Below are 19642 nucleotides of genomic sequence, written 5' to 3' on the forward strand. Positions count from 1 at the left end.
GTCATCAGGAGCATGTAGCTTAATTTCCATGTATTTGTATAGTTTTGAGTGTTCATCTTGTTCTTGATTTTTAGTTTTATTCTCTTGTGGTCAGATAAGATACTTTATATAATTTTGATTTTTAAAAACTTTTTGAAGCTTGTTTTGTATCCTAACATATGGCCTCTCCTGGAGAAAGTTACATGTGCTGATGAAAAAAATGTGTATTCCGTAGCTGTTGAGTGAAATGTTCTGTAAAGTCTACTAGGTCTATTTGGTAGGTTCAGTTTAAATCTGATGTTTCCTTGTTGATTTTATATCTAAATAATCTGTCCAGTGCTGAGAGTGAGATGTTGAAGTCCCCAACTATTATTGTATTGGGGCTTATTTCTGCCTTTAGATCTAATAATATTTGCTTTATAGATCTAGTGGTTCAGTGTTGGGTGCATGTTTATTTATAATTGGTATATTCTCTTGCTGACCTGTTCCCCTTATTATTATTTAATGTTTTTCTTGTCTCTTTTTACAGCATTTGACTTTAAAGTCTGCTTTGTCTGATATAAGTATAGCTACTCCAGCTCACTTTTAGTTTCTGTCTGTGTGGAATATCTTTTCCACCCCTTCATGTTCAGTCTATGTGTGTCTTTACAGGTGATGTGAGTTTCTTGAAGGCAGCATATAGTTGGGTTATTTTAAAATTCATCCAGCCAGTCTTTATCTTTTAAATGAGGAATATAATCTGATTCAAGGTTATTATGGATAAGTGAGGGCTTACTCCTGTCATTTTATTGATTTATTGATTGCCATGTTGTTATTTTGTATATCCTCTGTTTCTTACTTCCTCTCTTACTGCCTTTTTTTTTTTTTTTTTTTTTTTTTTTTTTTTTTGCAGTTGGGTGGTTTCCTGTAGTGATGAGCTTTTATTACTTTTTTTCCCCTTTGTTTTTGGCTTTTCCAGTGAGTTTTATAGTTTTGCATGTTTTCATGATTGTGGTTATTTTCTTTTCACTTCTAGATGTAAAACTCCCCTGAGCATTTCTTGTAAGATCAGAATAGTTGTGATGAATTCTCTTAACTTTTGCTTGTCTGTGAAAGATTTTACTTTTTCATTTCTGAAGGATAGCTTTGCTTGGTATAATATTATAGTCTGGCAAGTTTTGTTTTGTTTACAGTACTTCGAATATATCATCCAATTCTCTCCTGGCTTGTAAGGTTTCTGCTGAGAAATCCGCAGTCTAATGGGGATTCCATTATATGTGACTTGATGCTTTTCCTTTGCTGTTTTTAAAATTATTCCTTTGCCTTTAACTTTTGACAATTTGACTATAATGTGACTTGGAGAGAATCTATTTGGAGTGAATCTATTTGGAGTTCTTTGAGCTTCCTGGATCTGAGTGCCTATCTGTTCAACAGGAATTGGGATGTTTCCAGGTATTATTCCATAAAATATATTTCATACACCTTTTCCATTCTCTTCTCCTTCTGGAACACTCATAATGTGAATATTTGTCACTTAATGGTGTCCCATAAATCCTGTAGTCTTTCTTCATTCTTTTTTTGTCTGCCTGTTATTTCAAAAGACTTGTCTTCAAGTTCAGAAATTTATTATTCTGCTTGGTCTTGTCCATTGTTGAAACTCTCAATTATATTGTTTAATTTCATTCACTGAATTCTTCCATTCCAGAATTTCCACTTGATCCTTTTTAATTATATCTACCTTTTTGTTGAATTTCATGTACATATCAGAAATTGCTCCTTGATTTTGTTGAATTGTCTATTTGTATTCTCTTATATCTCACTGAATTTCCTTAAGATTATTATTTTGAATTCTTTTACTGGAATTTTGTGTGTTTCCTTATAATTGGGGTCTGTTACTAGAGAATTATTATGTTCCTTTGGAGGTGTCATGTTTCCTTGCCTGTTTTGTGTTTAATGTGTCCCTGCATTGATTTATACATATCTGGTGAAACAGTCACCTCTTCTAATTTTATGGAGTAGGTTTCATATGGAAAAACTTATTCATATAGATGGGTTTTGGGGTGTTGGTTTGATGGGGTGCATTGGCTTTGATTCTAAGTGGACACAGTAGTGTAGTCTCTATGTAGTGTCTTCAACTATAATCCATGCTAGTGATGTTTGTCTCAGTGGCCTGGGCTGAGAGAGTTTATGGCAGTGGTGGTGCAGCTTTGCTAGAGGTGGGCTCATTGGTTTGTTTCTTAGGTCAGGGGCATATGTGTGCACACAGTGGGTGAGCCAACTTGTGGTCTGGCTTTCTGGAGTTGGGACCGTGGGATTATTACTCTGGCTGGGGGCACAGACACACAATTGCTTGGCTGACCTGGGATCATGCCTGCCAGGGGCATCATATGGGGCTATTTCTCAGGCCTGGGACAGGGACACAAGGCCTCTTGGCCAGCCTGGAAGGTATCTTCCTGCAGCAGCCCACAGGGCTATTTTTCTGGCCTGAGATGGGGGCACATGGTTTCTCGGCTGGCCTGGGGATGTATCAGCTGCTTAGTGCCTCAGGGACCTCTCCCACTTGGGGTAGGGCATGCAGTGGTTTGGCTGGCTTAAGAGTGGGTTCACCCTGGGCAGGACTGCAAGGCCGTTTGTCCCACTGGAAATGTGGGCGGTGAAGGGTGGGTTTCTTTTTTGGGCTCATCCTGAGTCACAGCTAACTCTGGGCCTGGAATCTACACAGCTGGGGTTGTGACATTCAGACACTCATGTGGGCTTGGTGGAATGAATATGGAGCGCTGGTGCTGTAGAGGTACAGTTGCGACTGATCTCCAGAGCATAACACACTCCAGAGTGTGGCTCTGGTCTCAGAATGGTGCTGTCCTGCAGTAGCTTGGCTCACAGTGGGTGGGTATGTGTGGGTGAGAGCTTGGCTCACAATGTGGGGGGTAAGCACCTTGTGCTACTAATCTGGAACAATGCAGTTCAGTGAAATCCTTGCAGCTCTCCAAACTGGGCTCAGGGCTTTGTGAGGACTGTGGGAGTCTTGTATGTAAGGACTGTAGGTGTTTGCAGTGGCAATAGGGACTGTTAGTGATCTTCTGCTTACCTTTTTCCTGAAATGGAAAGTCCCTCCTGTCTCTGGGCTGATCAGATCCAGGCAGGGGAGATGGGGTGCAGATGCACGGTGCCTCTACACTGCCCTCCTGGGCTTCTAGCCGTCACAGGTACTTCTCCATTCCTCTGCTGCATGACAGCATTCTCTTTTCAACACTCCAGTTAAAGCTTAGTTATTTATTTGTTGCCATGATTCTTTCTTCGTGGGGGTCTGGGAGAGCACCAGACATCTCTAGTCAGCCATCTTGCTGATGTCACTCCCAGAAACATATACTTCTGAGTCTGAATTGTTGGTAAGGGCAATAGGTGGTTATTAGACCTTCTAGATTTGCCTTACTACCATGAGTCAAATATAGCACACTGTCTGTTCTTATAAATAAAGCTTTGTTGGCACACAACCATGCTCATTTGTTTAGGTATTATCTATGGCTCCCTTTGTGTTCCAGCAGCAGAGCTGAGTAATTGCAACAGAGACCCCACAGCCCACAAAGCCTTCATATTTACTTTCTGGCTCTTCATAGAAAAAGTGTGCTTGACTCCTTCTCTGGGGAATTCTATTTGGAACCTCTACATCATATCAGACATCTTAAGATGTATTCATACCTTACATTAAAAATGAACACATTGCCATACAAATTTTGAAAGGTTTTAAATAAATTTGCTTTTGACTATGGGTAACTTATTTAGCTTACTACTGGCTACAAAATGTCAGCAGTTTTGCTTATTTGTGAATTCCTGCATTATGAGATGCTCTCTGACAAATTGTTTTCAATAGTAATAAAATATTCATGCAATACTCATGAACAACAAATTTAACAATTAATGAGGTAACAAAATATCATGTTTTATAGATATTTAGTTAGACATTTATGAATTTTTAGTTTGCTGTCTTCTTTGTGTATTTTGAAGCCGATATCCTTATCTGTACACACACACACACACACACACACACACACACACACACACACACACACATATATATATATATATATATCCTGACTATTTTCATAGGCCTTTCGGTCTTGGAATTATAGTGTCCAGTGAAGAAAATGGTCATGTTGGCATCTTTATGAAGTACCCCTGGCATAGGATATTTCAGCCTTTCCCTTTACATGCAAGTCTATATTATATATTATCACCTTCCCCAACTGATGTCTGCAGGAGACATTCCTGGATGTCTGCTGGTCCTCCTCCCAAGTTCATTCTCAAGTCTACCTACATGCTTAAAGAAAGCATCCATTAGAAATATCAGCACCAGGAGGTTTTGGTGAAAATTCCTAGCTTGTAATGGAATTCACATATACTCATGAATTAAACTAATTCTTGCTAACGGCAATGAATAAGGCAATAAACAGAAATAGTAAATATTTTCAGAGAAAATGTGATTTTATTATGAACATTAGCCTCCAAATTACCCAGCAGTCCAAAGATAGCGGCAGTCTGAGAAGTTAAATATTTATTTTGCATTTCATCAATTTTGGTTTTTATGTGCAATAACAATCTGATTGGTTTTGTGGAGCTTTTCATCTAAGATGTTCATTGTGCTTACTTTTATGATTTACTAAACACAGCAGATACCTCAGTTGTTAAAACTTTCCTTTTCCCAAGTGAAACACTGACCGAGGAGACCTCATTGTATGTTTCTGTGAAGTAGGCATAGCAACGGTCCCCTCAAAGATGACCTGTGGCAGCCGTCAAGGATATCAAGACAGTGCCAAATAGAGGGCGTTTCTAAGATGGTTTCCTCTCATCAGAGAGTTTTTCTGTGTGGCAGAGACTGCAACCCTTGTCTAGTCATTGTCTTCTCTGAAATTTGTGTGTCAAAGGCCAAACAAATCTGCTATGAAGAAGGAGAAGGATAAAGAATTCTGGAGCCATGAAAACAGTCCTTTCACTGTTCCCAACACAAGCATTCTACTGCTGAAATTTTGTGCAAGTATGAGGCTGCAGAGACTGCTGATTGCCCTAAAACATGTTACCTCTTCTTCCCCAGTAAAAGAACCCTGATTCTTGCTGTGCACTTGCCAGGCAGAATGGCAGCAACATTTCCCATCCTCCACTTCAGCTAGGCATGGCTATGTGACTAAATTCTGGCCAATGGGAGGCAACTTCCAGGAAGTGTCCTTGAAGAGGGTGGAGATGTGTCTGTTTCCCTCTTCTTCTACTGGCTGGAATTAGAATGTGATGGCTGGAGGTGGGGCAGCCATTCTGGTCACTGCCGTCAGAGCTGATACACAGTGTAGTGCAGGATAGAAGAGGCAGAGGTGCCTGTGCACCAGGGAGCCCTACTCCACTCCTGAACCACCTTCCTCTAGACTCAAAGTGAGGAAGAATTAAATGTGTCTTGTTTAAGCCATTGCTCTTTTGGATTTTCTGTCATTCATGGCCAGGTCTAATCTTAACTGATACAAAATAGAGACCAAGAGAAGTGAGCTACAAGTAGCAGAACCGAAGCACGTGGCCTTGGCTTAATGGATGTGTTCAGGCGGCAGGGGCTCAAATATTGTGAGCTAGAGAGCCAGTGACCCTTGTTATACAGAAACAAAGCATTTGATAAAAACCACTGCCCATTGTTTTTTGAAAAGCAGCCCATGTCCTGAATAAGGACTGAGGCAGGAAATGGCAGGAGAAATTTATAATGTTAAAAAAAAAAAAGCATTAGCTGCTTATCACTGCTTTTAGCAATGTTCTACAAGAGAGAGCTGGACTTTGGCTACTGCTGGCCAGTACCTGAGCAAGAATGAAAGGAAACACAGTGTGCTAATGGAGGCACTCTACCTGCAGTCTGCAATTTAAGTTGACTGAGAGCTTGGTAATTTGGAGCCTTGCAGGGTTGAAAAAACAACTGCTGTGTTTCACAAACTATATCAGTCGTAGAAATGGTTTCTGCAAAGCAGCCTGCTTAGCAGAAAATAAAACTAGTGCCCCATCCTGCCAATTTGGAACCTTGTGTCAAAAGTCATTTGAAGGGTTTTGTCTTCCCAGCTAAGCCCTTCCTTCCCATGGCTCCAGGTGGGTACCATTATGCTGACAGAGGGAGAGAGAGAGAGAGAGAGAGAGAGAGAAATATCAGCAGAGCATGGAGGCCCATAAGGAAAAACCAGAAGTTTCAGCATTAAAAACGTGTCTTCACAGAAGAGCTCACCGGAAACAAGTAGATCTGAAGTCTTTATGTTTTTGAAAAACTGTTTTACCAAAGAAACCAGCAGTTTGGTCTGTCTGCAAAAGCTTGTGATTGTTTAACCCCAAAGTGATTCCTCTGGGGGGTTGGAACAACCAACCTTCAAAGCAAGAAGCAAACTGTGAACGCTGTGTAGCCTCAGGAAGGGCATACCCTTTGCCCCCCACACTGGGTACGGCAGGGGAGATAATAGTAGGGAAGAGCCTCTGAGAACACAAGGCCATGGCCATGGCGGGTGATGCTACAGAAGGAGACTCCACTCTTCCTGCCCACTGGGATTTGCTCACGTGTGTAGATGATGATGGCTGTGTTTATCAGCCTCCAACTACCAAGTGATAGTTTTAGTCACAGCTCTTCTGTTCTTACTCATCTCCCTTATGTTGGATGTATTGAGAGCAAGTAACTTATTACTTAGTTTGTAGTTTGTCAAACCATTAAAATCCTCATTCATATCTCAGAGAAAGGACTGTGCTTTACCCTGGGTTGCCAGATCTAGAGTCAGATGCAGTGATTGGATGGAATTTTGCAGATGTATCTCTTGGGGGCAAGAGATGAGCATGTTCTGTGTATGGGAAGAAAGGCTCACACAGGTCTGTGGGTGGCCAAAGGAGTGGACTGTAGCAGAAACTACTATCTCCCCACCCACTCCCATGATCTCTTCTTTCCTTATTCTTAAGAAATAAAACCCTGAATTTAGCCAGGGCTATGGCTTTCCCAAATGTACAATGCATTTCTCAGACTTCCTTGACCTAGCTGTGACCAGGTGACTAAGTTCTGGCCAATGGGATTCATGTAGTGGCAGCAGAGGTGGTCGTGCAAGTTCTGAAGGGTCCTGCAGAGAGCAGGTGCGCCCTCCTCTGCCTCTCCTCCCTCTCCCTGCAGGCTGGCTGCCGACCTGAAGGGGGACTATCTGCAGAGCTTGGGAAGGGAGGCATCCACAGTGGAATCCTGTGTTGGAAGGAGCCAGAGTCCCTCACACTGGCAGGCCAAAAAGGCCTGGATCCCCAAACTTTTACAAAAGAGAAATAAATGTAAGTCAGCATTTGTGGGGGCACTGTGTTCTGTCATTCATCGTCGAACTTAATACTAAGTAGCCCCAGTAATGTGGCCTAAAAAACAAACCAATAAATAGAAAACCACTGATGCATAAACGTGTGCTATGCTTTAGAGTGATTGCCTCGATGAGTTAAATGCATTCAGTGAACAGATTTTTCCCATTATGTTTAAACAAGTATATGTACAATGAGTGAGTTTCCTCCTTACACCGTGCTACACTATTGCTTAACAGATTCCTAAAATTCTCTTCCAAAATGCCTGTCACTGCCCCATGGCATATCCTTTTAAATATCCCTTTCCACTGACCTCACAATGTCACAGTGTCCTTTTGAGCTTGGATTTGATTTTTGGAAACTGCCAGAAGTCCTCCAGGGCCTTCGGGGTAAGCAGGTGGGTGATCAGCCTCAGCGACACCCTTCTGGGCTGGGAGCAGGTGTGGTGAAGGGCAGATGAACTCGTTACCTGAGGCACAAGGCCATTCATTCCCACATGGGCCTGTAGAGGGTTTGAGCCCTTGGGCATACCTGTTTTAAATGTTTTTAAAAACTTCCTCTCTCAGCCCAACTGAGAGGAGTATTAAGCAGTGGGGTAAGTGTGTACCTAGATCGCCAACCCTGGGCTGGCACTGCCAGTTTCCCCAGCACCTAGACTGCCAAGCACTGACTCCAGCTAACACTGTCCTTTATCAAAACACCCTTAAACCAAGAGTCTGAAAATACAATAAAGGTGATTAGGAGCTGCTTGCCCCTGATCAAAATGAACCCGGCGTAGTGTTGAATGCTTTCAATCTACCGAAATGGACCTTATGTGCTGGACACTATTTCATTTATGTGGAATCTGTGGTGTTAGCTTTCTCAGAGCCCAGAGCCAGGCACCAGGCCTCACTGGGATGCATGGCCCGAAAAAGGCTTCATTCTGACTTAGAATCTAGTAGGAGGTGAAGTCCCACAAAGTGACTGTTGCCTTAACCCGCTCTGGGAAGTCTGTGTTTGCTCTGGGGTTTATCGTTTGTTTCCCTATGGGGAGCAGAATGGTGAAGACATCCTCCCAAGATTCCTGAGGCCTTTCAACTCATACTCTAATCTGGCATTACTGTGAAGGAATTTGCAGAGGGGATTAAGGTGAATAACCAGCTGATTGTAAAATAGGGCATTGATCTTGCATCTTGTGTGTGGGCCCAGTGCAATTCTATGAGCCCACGAGAGTGGAGACAGCTCTCTGGCTGGAGTTAGAGAGAGAGAGAGAGAGAGAGAGAGAGAGAGAGAGGGAGAAGAGGAGGCAGAAGGGAGGTGAGGCAGAAGGGACTTCACAGAGACCGGAAGCAAGAAAAGCACTCACCCTGCCATTAGTGGCTTTGAAGGGGGCCACAAGCCAAGGAATGTGGATGGCCTCCAGGATCTGAGCATCCCCTCACCCCACTGGTGATTGCCAGCAAGGACACAAGAACCTCAGTCCCACAAACAAGGACCTGCATTTGGTCAAGAACCTGAGAGCGCTTGGGCATGCATTCTCCCCCAGAGCCTGTAGGAAGGAGTGCAGCCTGGCTGATGCCTTGACTTTGGCTCTGTGAAACTCAGGGCAGAGAACAAGCTGAACTGCACTGTGCCCACACTTCTGACCTACAGACCCTGTAGGGTAAATTTATGCTGCTTTTAAGCAGGGAATTTTCTGGTAATCTGTATGACATCAAACCTTAGCATGAATGTAAACTTCCACAGGGAAGCTTTGTCAAGGCATCTCCAGTGCCTGGAACAGTGTCTGGAACAGCATAAGTGCTCATTAAGTGCTCACTGAGTGAATGAGTGATATGGCGACTATTGGTATGCGGCTCCTGCAAGAAGGCTGGAGAAGACACGAGGGGCCACAGCAGCAAATGGAGCCAGGACAGCGTGTATGTGTGTGTGTTGAGGGGCATGCGGAGGGTAGGGGCAGTAGGTGGTCACTTAGCTCTCTGGGGACAGGGTTATGGTCTTGGGCAGAGGAGAAGTAGTGCTGATGTGATCACAAGACTCTGATTCTGTCCCCTCAGCCAGTAGGGGCCTCAAGGTCACTGCTTGTATATGGCTCAGGTGAAAAAGAAGGACAGTGGTGGGAGGGTGATGGTCATAGGGTCACATTTGAATCTCTGTTGTTTTTTTCCCTCGATATAGAAAAGTTGAAAGAATTGTACAATGAAGTCATGCATACCTATCATCTAGATTCTGTAGTTAACATTTGCTATATTTGCTTTAACACACATCAATGCATCTTTCCATCCCTCTTTTTTCTTTTCTTCCTCTTCCTCCTCCTCTTCCTCTATATCCTCTTTCTTCTTCTTTCATCCTATTCTTCGATGTGTTTCAAAGTAAGTTGCAGACATCAGTATACTTTACCCCTAAATACTTTGCCTAGGTAGTGTTGAGTTTGATACTTTTAAAGGTAAAATTTACAAATGAAATGCATAGGTCTTAACTTCACCATTCCATGAGTTTTGACGAACGCACTCAACTGTGTAACCCACATCCCAGAGAGGTATAGACTATTGCTGGCCGACAGCAGGATCTGCAGTGATGAAAATGGTCGGTGCTGCCCAGCACAGCAGCCACCATGGGTGGTCCCTGAGTACTGGAAATGTGTCTACCAAGCTGGAAGACCTGAATTTTTGATTTTATTTAATTTTAAATAATTTAAGTTTATATTCTATGTGGGTGACCTGCTACCTTTTAAAATTGAAATTTTGGTTGGAATAATGATAGATTCACATGCATTTGTAACAGATAATACAAAGAGGTCTCATACCCTTCACTCGGTTTTCTCTCAGGGTAACATCTGACCAGACAACTGGACAGTATCACAACCAGGACACTGATATTGAAATGCTCCACCTACCTTACTCATGCTTCTTGGTTTCACCTGTGCTCTTCTGTGTATGCATTAAGTTCTGCACTGTTTTGCCACCTGGGTAGGTCTGTGTAATCATCACCACTGACTGATGCTGAACAAGGTGCTGAGCAGGGCAGCACCCCCAGGACCTCCAGGCTGCTCCAGTATAACCACACCTGTTCTCCTCTTCCCACTCACTCTTGCAACCACTGGTGACCATCAGCTTTAAACATTTTTAAAATGTTTTCACTTATGTAATGTGATATAAATGGGATTATACAGTATGTAATCCTTTGAGATTGGGTTCTTTTGATCTGCCACGTTTTTAAAAGCCTGTCTTCCCCACTGGGACTGCAGGCTCCTTGAGGGAAGGAACTGGTTGTGGCTGAATCCCCAGGGCCTGACATGTAGTAGGCACTCTATGTTTATTGATTTAGCGAGAGGCAATCCAAATAAAAAAGCATTTACGTGCCAGTCCCTGTGATGCAGAGGGGGCAGTGGAGGGAGAGAAAAGCTTGCAGAAGGAGATGATTCAAAACGCTGAGCAGGGAGTTCATAGGCAGGAGACATTCAGAGGGACACAGCATGGGCAACAGCTGGGAGGCAGGGCTGATCAGGAGGCTGCAGCCTGGCCTGTGAGGATAGCGTGTCTTAGGCTGACATGGCAAGTGAGGTTGTGGAGACATCTGAACCCTGGTACACTGCTGATTGGAATGTAAAATGGTACTGCTGCTGTGACAAATAATATGGATATTCCTTAAAGAATTAAAAATGGAACTACAGTAGGATTCAGCAATCCCATTTCTGAGGATATATTCAAAGAATAGAAATCCGGATCTCAAACAGGTATCTGCACTCTCACGTTCGCTGCAGCGTTATTCACGGTCCCCATGGTGTGGAAAAAACCTCAATGTCCACAGATAAATGAACAAGTAAAGAGACGCGATATAGACACACAAGGGGATGCTATTCAGCCTTCCAAAAAGAGGAAATCCTACTATTTGCAACAACATGGATAGGTCTGGAAGACATTCTATTAAGTGAAATAAGGGGGACACAGAGGGATGAGGATTGGAAGGTTTCACCGATGTGAGTGATCAAAAAGAGTCAGATGAAAATGCAGAAGATAGAATGGTAGTTTCCAGGAGATGGGGTGGGGGAGATGGGGATCTGTTTGTCAACGGGTATAAAGTTACAGTTACATGAGAGGAATCAGTCCTAGAGGTCTGCTGCACAACGTGGCACCTATAGTCAACAACGTAGCACCTATAGTCAACAACGTAGCATCTATAGTCAACAACATAGCACCTATAGTCAACAACGTAGCACCTATAGTCAACAACGTAGCATCTATAGTCAACAACGTAGCACCTATAGTCAACAACGTAGCACCTATAGTCAACAACATAGCACCTATAGTCAACAACGTAGCATCTATAGTCAACAATGCACTTCAACATTTTACTTTAAGTGCTAGGATACATGTGCAGAAGGTGCAGGTTTGTTACATAGGTATACATATGCCATGGTGGTTTGCTGTACCTATCAACCCGTCATCTAGGTTTTAAGCCCTGCATGCATTAGGTATTTGTCCTAATGCCCTCCTTCCCCTTGCCTCCCACCCCGCAACAGGCCCCAGTGTGTGATGTTCCCCTCCCTGCGTCCATGTGTTCTCATTGCTCGACTCCCAGTTATGAGTGAGAACATGTGGTGTTTGGTTTTCTGTTCCTGCATTAGTTTGCTGAGAATGATGGCTTCCAGCTTCATCCACATCCCCGCAAAGGACATGAACTCATTCTTTTTTACGGCTGCATAGTATTCCACGGTGTATATGTGCACATTTAAACATTTCTTAAGAGGGTAGGTCTCATGTCAAGTGTCCTTACCACCAAAAATAAATAAATGAATAAATGAATAAATAAATAAATAATATATAAAAGCAAAGGAACACATGGTCACTGAGAGACAAGAGATTCAGTCTTCACTGAGGTTGAAAAACAAGGAAGGGAGAAAGAAAGTGAACTGGGGATCCCTTCTGCCACCTTCCCCCACAACCCCTGGTTTTATTGAGGTATAACTGATATGTTAATATAAAAAAAGACATATATTGAATATCTACAATCTGATATGATAGTATACCATCACCAGAATCAAGTTTTGTGGAGCTCTGCTACCTTTTTGCTGGGTGACTTCCCCAGTCTGGGCCTGTGTCTATTTGAAAAATTGAGGATTCATTTTGACTGGAGGGTTTTCCACCTGAGTTCTCCAGAGCCTCAGCATTCCAGGACATCAGGGTGATTTGAAGTCAATCACAGCAGAGAAACTTTGGTCTGTTGGTGTTTTAAGTATCTGGGTTTTTTTTTGTTTGCTTTTTTTTGTTTTGTTTTGTTTTTGTTTTTTTCAGTATCCCTTCACCTTCTTCTAGGAAAACATCTGGACTTCCTTTGGGTAGTTCCCCATCTCTTCATCCTCTGTTTCTGTAAGTTCCAGAGGCAGATCCTGGAAGATTTTAACTAGCTAATGTAGCCCACCCCGTTGGCCACCACTATTAGTTCAGAGATGTGCATTTTACCCAAACTGAGCCAGTGAGAGTGGGGCCCAGGGTCTTTCCAACTCTTTGGATGGACTTTGAAGCTGAGAGGCTGTAAGTGCAGGGGCAGTTGCAGCAACCTTGAGAACATGAGGGGAAGAGGCAGAGTGGTTGGGGGCCACCAGATGTGGGAAGCATGGAAGTGAGCTGAGAGGGAGTGGAGTGGGTTCTAATGACATTGCTTAAGTCCTGCACCTAGTTAAGAAGCCATGACTCCCCTTGGACAATTACCTGCACCAGTGAATTCACTTTTGTGCTTGATTCAAGTTTTTGGAAACCAGCCCGGAGTGAAAACATTTCCTTCAAAAGTTTTTGTTTTTCAAAGTGAAAGCAAGTTTATTAAGAAGGTAAAGGAATAAAAGAATGGCTACTCCATAGACAAAGCAGCCTCGAGGGCTGCTGGTTGCACATTTTTATGGTTATTTCTTGATGATATGCTAAACAAGGGGTGGGTTATTCATGCTTCCCCTTTTTAGGCCATGTAGGATAACTTCCTGATGTTGCCATGGCATTTGTAAACTGTCATGGTGCTGGCGGGAATGTAGCAGTGGGGATGAACTGGAAGTCCAGCTTTCCAGGAGAACCTTCTAATGAGCACCTCTTACCTGCTTTGTGTAGTCTAAAGAGAGAAATCGCTTCAGCCTCAGCAGGGGCTGCATCATCCCCCAGGGAAGAGCCACAGCTGGGCGAGGATTGCCACAAGACATTTACAAGGAGATGATGCCACGGAGACTAACGCAGACTGGTAAACGGAAACACGGGGCTTTGGCTCGAACACCCTCTTTCAAGAAAGTTGTTTATGACCACAAGGAAGGTTTGAGTCTCTATATTTTTGCATGTACTAGATTTCTCCTTTTAAAAAAGATTCAGTTATGAATTCAGGCGTTCAAGTTAATCCTTGAGAATTAAATCAATTGAATTAATTATTTGTAAAAACATCCTCAGTTTCTTCAGATGAAAGGAGTATGATCTTCACAGAATTCTGCTTGTAATTCCCAGAGCAGTTGATGTATTTTGTTGTATTTTGCTGATTGGCTTTGTGTGATGTGCAAAGTTCTTTACAGAGAGGCTGGGAGAGAGTTGGGGGGCCAAAGGTGAGAGGGCTGTGTTCTTCCCACGCTGGCTCACAGCCTCTTGGGAGTTTATCATGGAGCTGGGTGGCGGCCACTGTCTTCACTTTCCCAGTTTCTGGTTTTGTTTTTTAAAGTTTTCATCCTCCCACTTTGGAAGCCTATGGACTTCATCTGTCATGCGATTTGTAAATCAAGACCCCAACAGGCAGCTGTCTGCTTCTATTAGCTTTCATGACACAGGTGACACTGCATGGAAGGCCTGCCTCTTTCTTTAAGTCAGTTATTAATATGAAATGACACCAAGTTGTTTCTCAAAAGCCAAACAGCCTAAGAATAGTAAAGAAAAATCATAATCTCACAGTATTATAATTCAATAACTATCATTATTAAAATGGTGGCATAAAGCCCAAGCTTTGCAATGTGTGGGGGAAGTTGAGTGAGAAATTCACCCTGAAATTCATCTGTGTATCAGTCGGAGAAATTAATGCTGGCAGCTGAAACAGGTAAAACCACCAAGGCTTTTAACCCAATGAAGGTTTATTTATCATCAGGCAAAGTCCAGTAAGTGCACAATTTGGGCCTGTAGGTTGGCTGTGGCAGGGGAAAAGATGAAGAAAGCACAGTGGCTATTAAATTCTATTGGCCAGAACTAGTCCTGTGACCATGATCTATTTGCCAGGGAGACGAGGAGGTGAGAATGAACACATAGATACTGAATGCATGTGGTTCCTCTAGCAATGTAAGGCGGATTTCTACTGTTGTTAGTCAGAAATGAAACTCAAAACTCATTTAGATGATGGAATTACGAAGAACTTGAATGTGGGCCTAACATAAATCATGCTGCTATAAAGACACATGCACACGTATGTTTATTGCGGCATTATTCACAATAGCAAAGACTTGGAACCAACCCAAATATCCAACAATGATAGACTGGATTAAGAAAATGTGGCACATATACACCATGGAATACTATTCAGCCATAAAAAAGGGTGAGTTCATGTCCTTTGTAGGGACATGGATGAAATTGGAAATCATCATTCTCAGTAAACTATCGCAAGAACAAAAAACCAAACACCGCATGTTCTCACTCATAGGTGGGAATTGAACAATGAGAACACATGGACACAGGAAGGGGAATATCACACTCTGGGGACTGTGGTGGGGTGGGGGGAGGGGGGAGGGATAGCATTGGGAGATGTACCTAATGCTAGATGACGAGTTAGTGGGTGCAGCGCACCAGCATGGCACATGTATACATATGTAACTAACCTGCACAATGTGCACATGTACCCTAAAACTTAAAGTATAATAATAAAAAAAAAAGAATCACATTTCCAATCCTGGTGTCTCATAGAGGATCAAAAAACAGTGTATGAAAGACGCATGATGTGGGCATTTAGAGCATTGGCTTTGGTTTGGGAGGAAGCCAGGGCTTAACACCAGCTCTATTATTCACCTTGTGTGAGCTTGATTAAGTGTATTCAACACTTTGAGTCCTTATTGCTTTGTCGGTAAAATGGGGAAAATAGTAACACCCCTCTTACAGGTTTTTTGAGAAGTCATTGCTATTACTCTTACCACCATCACTGCCCCGGGAACTTGTCTTTGTAATAAGATTTTTGGTGGATCTGAAGCTGTGGGTTATTGTTTAACCTCCTTCGTGTACACAGGCTGCCTTCCTTCATGCATACATGCACGTGGCAAATACTTATCAAATGCTTAGTGAATGCTAAGCCTGTGTTACCATTTTGCCTACGTTATTTAATTCTCACTTTCTGTTTTCACCCCATTTTGCAGATGAGGAGAACAAGGCTGGGAGAAAGCAAAGGAGCCACTTGTTTAAGGTTATGCAGCTGAGAAATGAACAAGGTGGGGTTCGAGTCCAGAGTGCGCATTCCCCATCACCCCTTAACAAAAAGGCATGTTTCCCAGGAGACTACAGAGGAGAATCGGCAGGTGGTCACAATTGCAGGGCTGTCTCAGGCTGAGCAGAGAGTACGGTGGAGGGGCATGGGCCTGCTGTTGGCGGTGAGGGCCTTGGAAATGGCTTCCTGGAGGAGATGGCAATTATCCAGGTAGACAAGATGTGTGTGTGTGTGTGTGTGTGTGTGTGTGTGATCATGAAGAAGAAATAATGTGCAAAGCCCTGGTCATAAATAACTTTTCCTCTGCAAACTGTGGATGGCAGTTCACCATGTTTCTCACCACTGGCCTGGTCACTGCTTATCCAATATGCATGTAAGAATTACTTTTTCTCTTTTTTCCCTTCTATAAATTCTCATAGAACTTCCTTTAATGCATTAAAAAAGCAACTAGCATGTTCAACCCATGATATCATATATCCTATGTTTTAGGATGCAACTAAAGTGAATATATAGGTGAAGAGGGTGAATCAGTGCAGCCGGCAGCACAGGGAAAACCAGGAACTGTCAATATAGCAAAGGTGGGAAGCCCAGGGAGCTGAAGCTTCAGGAACCCTGGGACAGAGAGTGTCTCCCTGCATTCCAGCTTAGAAGTGCTGCTCTTCAAGACAGAGTGTCACCAGCTCCATTTGTCCATAAAGCCACATTGTTCGAAGGGAAGGCAATGTCCCTCTGCCACTGCTCACCATGAAAAGACAGTGCTGTGTCAGGAACTGTGGGGCCAGAGCTTTGTGCTCTGGGGGAAGGGTCATGAGGCAAAAGGTCACAAGAGTAGCCAGGAAAGTTCTAAATTAGCCTTGGGAACAAGCCAGGCCCAGAGCAGAGACCCAGAGTTCAGGAATGTTCCCTGGCCCTGCCCTTGAAGTCTCTGCTCATAGCCTCGGAGCCGTGGCTACCAGGGAGGGTGGCTAAAAATACCTTGGTCAGGGGCCTAGAGATTGCACTTAGGAGACTGCTTTCCAGAGGCAGCCCGGGGAGAGCCGACAGCAGTGTGGGCGCCAGGGCCCCCACCAGCTACAAAGGTCAGCCAGCCCCCAGCTGCCTTCAGGTGGGTGTTTCTGCCAGTTCTCCTTTAGTGTTCAGGCTCAAATGAAAGGCCACTTTCAGCAAGTTTTCCTGACATTGTCGGAGACTGGAGCCAAGGCCCTGTCTGTTTTACTTTCTGAAAGAGCCAGTCTGAGAGATGGATGGGTTGGCGACTGAACACCACAAACAACAGCAGTGGGCTTTAACCTGATGGTGGAGGCTCCGGCACAGGTGGGGAAGGCCAGTGGCTCAGAAGGCCTGACAAGGACAGGACCAAAGCTCCAACAGCTCAGAGCTGGACTCCTTCCCATCCCAGATCTGAGCTCTTTGGTTCTCCTTCACAGAGGTGATTATGGTTCATAGTATCTTCTAAATAGAAATGCATATCATTTAAAATTTTTAATACCAATGTGTAAACTGAACCACACTTTAATTTATTCACCTAACAATCCACCTAAGAGATCCTGCCCTGTCAACATAGGTATAGTTATTGCACTTTTTAGAGTTTTTATGTCATTGTTTGTACGACTGTGTTATAACTTAAGCAGTTTTCTGCTGAGAATATTCAGGCTATTTCTGGCTTTTTGCTACAACAAACAGTCCTGCTGAGAACATTCTAATTCACACTTTTTCTATGCATGCATGAACATATTGTTAGGATACAGTCCTAGCAGTGAAATTCCTAGAGGAATGGGAACATACGTTTACAATGTTAATACCTATTGACAAATTGTTTTCCAACATTCCCACCAGCAGTGTGTATTATCAGTTTTTAAATATTTACCAGCCTAAGTAAAATAACTTAAAAAGGGTCTGTAATTTTAGTCTTAACCTCCATAACTTTCATTATAAATGAAGCTGGAACATATGAAATTATGTTTATGAGCCACTTATTTTCCTGTGAACTGCCTGTTTTTGTCATTTACCCATTTTTTTTTTTCTGATAGGTTGGTGGTCCTTTTTATTTATTTGTAGGAATGCTTTGTATGTGGTATGGTTTGGCTGTGTGCCCTCATTCAAATCTCATCTCGAATTGTGATCCCACATGTTGAGGGAGGGAGGTGATTGGATCACGGGGGGCGGTTCCCCCATGCTGTTCTTATGATAATGAGTGAGTTCTCACGAGACCTGGTGGTTTTATTTGGGGCTCTTCCCCACTTTACTTTCTCTTCTCTCTCTCCTGCCACCTTGTGAAGAAGAGCATGTTTGCTTCCCCTTTCGCCATGATTGTAAGTTTCCCGAGGCCTCCCCAGCCCTACAGACTGTGAATCAATTAAACCTCTTTTGTTTATAAATTACCCAGTCTCAGGGAAGTTCTTGAAAGCAGTGTGAAAACAGGCTAATACAGTATATGAGGATATTAGCTCTGTTTGTTATCTATGTTACCTTTTTTTCAGTTTGTCCTTTGGTTTTTGATATCTTTTTCCATGCAAAAACTAAAAAAAAAAAAAAAAAAAAAAAAAAAAGATGAAGTCAAATGTATCACTCTTCTTTATGGCTTTAAGAGGACACTGATTTCTGAATGGTGAGAAAAGGAGGTGACAAGAAACTTCTGCACCTTCCTGCACCAAACCAGACTTGACCCTGGAACACAGCAATCTGACCTGGCTGCGTGTTTCATGTGTGGTGGGTTGATGGCCCATCTCTCATCCTGGTCACTGTCACCTCTGTTTCCTACCTGCTTAGCCTTTAAGCTGCGAAGTCATCCTGGACATGCATCACCTCCCCAAACTCTGTCTTGTCCCCATTGCCACCCTTCCCCCAGCCTCTGGACAAATCTCCCTGCTTCAGTGTCTCTCATCTGTTGGGTACAAACATCCCCAGAAGATCCCCCGCCACACATTCCCTGGATCAGAACCCATCAGTGGTTCCCTAGTGCCTGGGAATTTCCATTCAATGGCCTCCGAACCATGAGCCTGCCTTTTCTGCCTGAAGCCCAAAACCCCAGCTACAGATCTTTACCCCAGAGACCATCTTGGGCCTCCCTCCAGGCTTTTGCTTACTCTGTGCCCTCATCCTGGAGTCCTGTCCCCACCCCTATCTACAGAAACTCCACCAGCCCTCCTGGCTGCCCCGATGGTCCTCGCACAGGGAGACTTGTCTACCTCCCGAGGTCACGTGTGGGCTCTGGTCCTCTTGCCATCATGGCAGAGATTTTGCTGTATCTCCCCCTGGCTGCTGGTGCTCTGCTTACCTCCTCCAGAGTTGTTAACAAAGAGCTGAGGATGCTGAGCTGCCCAGGGACTTGGCTGCAGGTGGCATAGGGAGCAGCAAGGGCTGGCCAGCCCATGAGCTACACGCCCGAGTCAGCTGCCTCCTCTGGGTAATGAAGTGGAAACGTTGCTCTCCACCTGCCACCTCCAGGGGCTTTCTTGCTCTCTCAAGTGATTCTAACCACTGGTCATTCTTAGTTACCAACCACAGCTCCAACACTGGGCACCAGGGATGCTGAAGGGAGCAAAAACAATGAGCCTCCCAAGAGGTGAGATGGAAATTAATCTAATAACTACACAGAAAAAAATGCAATCATAACTACATTCAGTGCCACACAAAAGGTTTGTGAATCAGGAGAGTGTATCTCCAGGGGTCTGACGTAGTCTGGGGGTTGGGGAAGCCCCACAAATGCCCGAGCTGCCTGTGAGTATGAACAGCGAACTGGAGGGGGCAGTGTCCCAGTGGAGGGACAGCAGGAGGGAGCCTGGTGCACCCGTGACTCACACGGCTGGGGAGAGGGCTGAGGAAGCTCCAGCATTCCTGCTTCCCCTGATCTTGCCCTTCAGAGGGTTTGAGGCTGAACCAGTCCCTCTTTGAGGGAAGAAAGGGAAGATGTGTCCCCTGCCTGACAATTGACAAACAGAGCACATTCCTTTCTTGG

At 43.8% G+C, this 19642-nt stretch overlaps 1 protein-coding gene across 1 annotated transcript in view, besides 2 other annotated features; it reads left to right on the forward strand.

Annotated features, from left to right (window-relative positions):
- The window catches only part of CDH26 (cadherin 26), a 77512-nt gene extending 59447 nt beyond the window's left edge, over positions 1–18065 (forward strand). Inside the window, exons 12-13 of the mRNA XM_011528970.4 lie at positions 13362–13557; positions 15617–18065. Coding sequence (XP_011527272.1) covers positions 13362–13557; positions 15617–15807 — 387 coding nt within the window. The 3' untranslated portion in view covers positions 15808–18065. The remainder of the gene's footprint in view (positions 1–13361; positions 13558–15616) is intronic.
- Positions 18641–19142: an enhancer, noted in NCBI's record as "H3K4me1 hESC enhancer chr20:58611565-58612066 (GRCh37/hg19 assembly coordinates)". NCBI's record gives its function as "activates a minimal SCP1, AML or CMV promoter by ChIP-STARR-seq in primed H9 embryonic stem cells {active_cell/tissue: H9 hESC(primed)}" and the evidence as "EXISTENCE:reporter gene assay evidence [ECO:0000049][PMID:30033119]".
- Positions 19143–19642: an enhancer, noted in NCBI's record as "H3K4me1 hESC enhancer chr20:58612067-58612566 (GRCh37/hg19 assembly coordinates)". NCBI's record gives its function as "activates a minimal SCP1, AML or CMV promoter by ChIP-STARR-seq in primed H9 embryonic stem cells {active_cell/tissue: H9 hESC(primed)}" and the evidence as "EXISTENCE:reporter gene assay evidence [ECO:0000049][PMID:30033119]".

This window comes from Homo sapiens, chromosome 20 (assembly GCF_000001405.40).
Source record: "Homo sapiens chromosome 20, GRCh38.p14 Primary Assembly".
Lineage (NCBI taxonomy): Eukaryota > Metazoa > Chordata > Mammalia > Primates > Hominidae > Homo > Homo sapiens.